This window comes from Homo sapiens, chromosome 1, assembly GCF_000001405.40.
Source record: "Homo sapiens chromosome 1, GRCh38.p14 Primary Assembly".
NCBI lineage: Eukaryota > Metazoa > Chordata > Mammalia > Primates > Hominidae > Homo > Homo sapiens.
In genome coordinates, this window is record NC_000001.11 from 209901166 (window position 1) to 209906230 (window position 5065).

The window sequence follows — 5065 nt, forward strand, 5'->3', positions numbered from 1 at the left end:
ATGGGCACTATGATTGAACTTGGAGTGGTGGAGAGCAAATACCAAGAAGAAAACTATTGCTACAGGAACAGTTGATAAATCCCATCTCCATAAACCCAAAGCAAAATAACAACAATATAGAACTATCATTCCTGAAAAATAGCCTAATGCAGGAAGGGTGTGGTAGTCACATCCTGGTAGCATTTTCAGGATATTTTTGTTGTTCTGTGTTTTCAACTACTTTTTAGCTTTAACAAGTCAAATTGCCTTGCTACCCCGAGGCCGCTTCAGAATACATATGCTGCATTGGTACTTGAAATCTGCATATCTTATTTTTGTTTTCCACTGCCTGTAATTCTATAAATAAAAGGGAAAATAATGTATGAAATTTCAACTTATCTGCAATTCATATTATATAAAACATTAACTTTTGGGAAGAAGGAATTGATTTAAATTATTAAAACCCTAAAAATGCTAATACACAAAACAGTCATCTCTCATAACATTATGTATTCTAAGAAGTTGCTACTTGAGTTTTTCAAAGGCTTACTCATGAACTAATTTTCTCAGTCTGCAAACAAATTTAAGTGTTCATAAATGCCATTAAAATTATATCCTGCAGTTTTGAAACAATATTCAATTCATTTTTAATGAAAGAAAATATATATAAAGGAGATAAAATATTCTTCAATTAGTGTTATGGTTTATACTTCAGGCAAAGAATAAAGCCTCCCTGAAATATTTCAAGAAAATTGACTATTTTTGGTTTATTTTTAATATCATTATAAGCCATAACTACATTTTGTTTTAGGGAGATAAACATTTATCACAACCAAATGTATGCCTACCAGAAGTTTGATTATCTGAATAAACTCGAGTTGAGGAATATTTAATATGTCACTTAAAGTTAATACCTAGGAAGAAGTCTCAATTAAATCCCAGGTATAGAGGTGAGTCCTCATGTTTTATTTGGCCTGATATGATATTGCTGGGTCTTTCTTAAGGCCTTAAGATAGTGCTGTGAAAATGTCATTTGTATATTTTTATGATACCTGCATTTTGTTTGGATGTATTTTATATGTTCTTATTTATACCGTAGCTTATACTTCCTGACAGTTTTTCATTTTAAATTGGATCATAAATATCCTTCACTTAATAGTTTCTTGATTTTCCTCTTTGCCATTTCTTCAGATTTTATCTTCAAAATAACCTCTCATTTTCTTGACTTCCTGGATAGCACAGAGAAGAAGACACATTCTTCTCTGAACAAGGGGGAGGAAGGAAGGAATTACAATAAGAAGCCTAGGTAGAGGAAGAGTGGGCAGTGAGATACTTTTCCTGCTATCAAATGTCTTCTCTAACATTTAGAAAGGTGTGGAAAGGCCGCTAGTTTAAAGACTAACAAACTAGGAAGGCTGACCACATATTAGCAGAGTTTAATATTTTAACCAACTGAATATTAAATTTATACACAAACACAAGATTAAATACATACTCGTTAATATGCTACCTAGCAACTAGGGCTAGCTATTTAACCAGTACATATAGGTAACTGTAACTGAGTCCTTGAACTGTGGTTAAAACCTTCTGAAAATATTTGTGCGTGTGTGTGTGTGTGTGTGTGTGTGTGTGTATTTACACTGCTCCTAAATTGACAATGGATTTCAGGAGACTCTAGAATTATATATACAGTGAAGTAGGAAAGTTGAATTAAAAAACAAACAAAAAAAACAGAAACAACTAGTGTGCTGGTGTTTGCTGGTTACAAAGCAACCAGTCCCCTTTTCCCTCCTCCTACCTTTACCTTTGTTTTTGTTTTTTTTTACCTCCCCAGTGTAACTGGGAGAAAACTGACCCCACTACCAGATCCAGGGTTCTGATTAGTCTAAATCAATCAGGATCTTACGATCTGGATTAGGCCATTTTTGCATTGCTATAAAGAAATACCTGAAGGCCGGGTAATTAATAAGGAAAAGAGGTTTAATTGGCTCATGGTTCTAGGATGCACAAGCATGGCACCAACATTTGCTTACTTCTGGTGAGGGTCTCAGGAAGCTTACGATCATGGTGGAAGGTGAAGAGGGAGCAGGCATATCACATGGTAACAGAGGGAGCAAGAAGGGGAGGGAAGTCCCAGACTTTTAAACAACCAGATCTTATGTGAAATAAAGGAGCAAAAATTCATTTATCAGCAAGAGGATGGTGCTAAACCATTAAGGAGGGATCCATCCCCATTATCCAATCACCTCCCACTAGGCCTCACCTCCAAAACTGGGAATCACATTTCAACATGAGATTTGGCAGGAAGAGACATCCAAACCTTATTACTGTCTCTCATGTGACAATGCATGGGAGGCCCCTGTTCATAGGTATGGACATAGGACCCTTTGGCAGTCTTAAAACATGGCCCCCAAATTCTTTGACAGCCTTCCTATTGAGAGGTAGAATTTCTGTCTCCTCCCCTTAAATCTAGTCTTTTTGATTTCTTGACTAATAGAATGTGGCAGAACTGACAGTTATGTTAGAAAATACCAGTTCCTACTCCCTGTCTCTTGGGATACTTTGCTTTGGAAACACAACAACCATGCTGTGAGGAAGCCCAAAGCAGCTCATGAAGAGACCCACAGGGAGAGTAATCCAGGTCTCTGGCCCTCAATTCCAGCTAAGCCACCACCTGACAACTAGCACCAATTTGCCAGCTGTGTAGGTGAACCATCTTGGAAATGAATCCTCCACCCAATTCATAAGCTAAATAAATTGTTATTTTAAGCCACTAAATGGGTTTACAAAGCAACAATACATAACTAGAACACTGATACTTGACACCTTGTAGGTGAACTTTTTTTCTTTCTCTTGAGAAGTTTAGGCTCTTTCGTTAATCCCTCATGAAGTTTAATGTTAACACCTTTTTTCTTTCCTTTTCATTTCCTTCCTTCTTTTTTTTCTGACATTTGGTGATCCTTTTTAATAACAATAATAATAATAATAATAAATCCTGCAATTCTAGGGAATGTCTTTGATAATCTTCTTTTGGTAATTATCTCCCTTTCATTTTCTCTGTTCTTTCTTTCTGGAACTCTGTGTGAGACAAATTGGATCTGCTGATTGATTTTCAAATTCTCTTTCCTTTTGTTCATCTTTTTTTCTATTTTTCTTCCAACCCTGATATTGAATTTTTAAGTTGAGCTATCAGATATTTAACTTTCAAGAGCTCTGTCTTGTTCTTTGATTCTCCCTTTTAAATAGGATTCTATTCTTTTTTCCATGGATCAAATAAGTCTCTTTTCTCTTTGGAGACATTTATCTTCAGGATTTTTTAAAAATAAAAACCCTTCTGCTTTTGATGTCATATATATTTCTTCAGTATTCCTATTCTCTGTTTCCTTAAGTTTCTCTTTTATTTTGGAGGCATTTAGTGTTCAAATATCTGGTAATCCTTGGCTACAGATTCATAGTTTAAGACAAGAGTCTGTCTAGTTTAGTCTACCTACTGGAAATCAGTTTCAATTGCAATTGAGTTTAATAATTTTTTGAGGGTTGCTTTATAAAATGTCTAATTCTAAGCATTTCCAAGGTTATGAAAAGGAATAAAACAAAGCCCTCAAGAAGTTTATAACCTAGTACAGTAGTCTTATTAGTCTCTTCTCATGCTGCTAATAAAGACATACCCAAGACTGATTAATTTATAAAGAAAAAGAGGTTTAATGGACTCACAGTTCCACATGGCTGGAGAGGCCTCACAATCATGGCAGAAGGTGTGGAGGAGCAAAGGCATGTCTTACCTGGCAACAGGCAAGAGAGCTTGTGCAGGGGAACTCCCCTTTATAAAACCATGAGATCTTATGAGGCTTACTCATTATGACCAGAACAGCATGGGAAAGACCTGCCCCCATAATTCAGTTACCTCCCACCAGGTCCCTCCCACAACATGTGGAATTATGAGCGCTACAATTCAAGATGAGATCTGAGTGGGACACAGCCAAACCATATCAGTAGTAATTTTTTTTTTCTCTCAATCTTTATTTCTTTGCCTGTTTTTACTGAACTGGCTAGGCTTCCTGATAAAATGCTACATAGAAGCAGTGACAGGGATTTTATTGAATCTGTAGATGAATTTAAGGAGTATTGCCATCTTAATAACATTATTAAGTCTTCTGATCCATAAATGTGAGATTTTTTCCATTTATTTAAATCTTCTTTAATTTTTTTCACAGTGTTTTATAGATTTCAGATTTTAAGTTTTGCACTTATTCAGTAAAATGTATTCCTAAATGTTTTATTCTTTTTGATGCTATTATAAATGAAATTTTCTTAATTTCATTTTTCAATTGTTTATTGCAAGTATATAGAAATAGGATTTATTTTTATATATTGATCTTGTCCCCAGCAAGCTGGATAAACTAATCTATTAGTACTAGTATTTTGTGTGTGTGGACTCCTTAGGAATTTCTATATACAAGATCATGCCATTTGCAGTAGAAAGAATTTTAATTATTTCTTTCCAAACTTGATGGTTTTATTTTGTTTTCTTGCTTTATTGCCCTGGCTAGAACCTCTAGTACGACACAGAATAAATGTTTTAAGTACAGACATCTTGTCTTGTTCCTGTTCTTAGTCGGGAAGTCTTCCACTATTAAGAATGATGTTAGCTGTGAATTTTTTGTAGATGTCCTTCAGGAGGTTGAGGAAGTTCTCTTCTATTTCTAGTATTGTCAGTGTTTTTTTTGTACTTTATCATAAAAGTGTATAAAATTTTTTAAAATACCTTTTCTGCATTTATTAAGATAATGTGATTTTGGTTTTTTATTCAGTTGCTATGGCATAGTACATTAATTGACTTTTAGATATTATTAAGTTGGTGCAAAAGTAATTGCAGTTTAATAAAACAACCATGCATACCTGGTGTATATCCCACTTGATCATGATATATCATTATGTTTATACATTGCTGAATTTAGTTTGCTGGCATTTTGTAGAAGATTTTTATGTCCATATTCATAAGAATATTGGTTTATAGTTTTCTTGTGGTGTTCTTGTATGGTTTGGTATTTCCTCTTCTATTTTTTGGGTACAGTTTGTGAAGAAT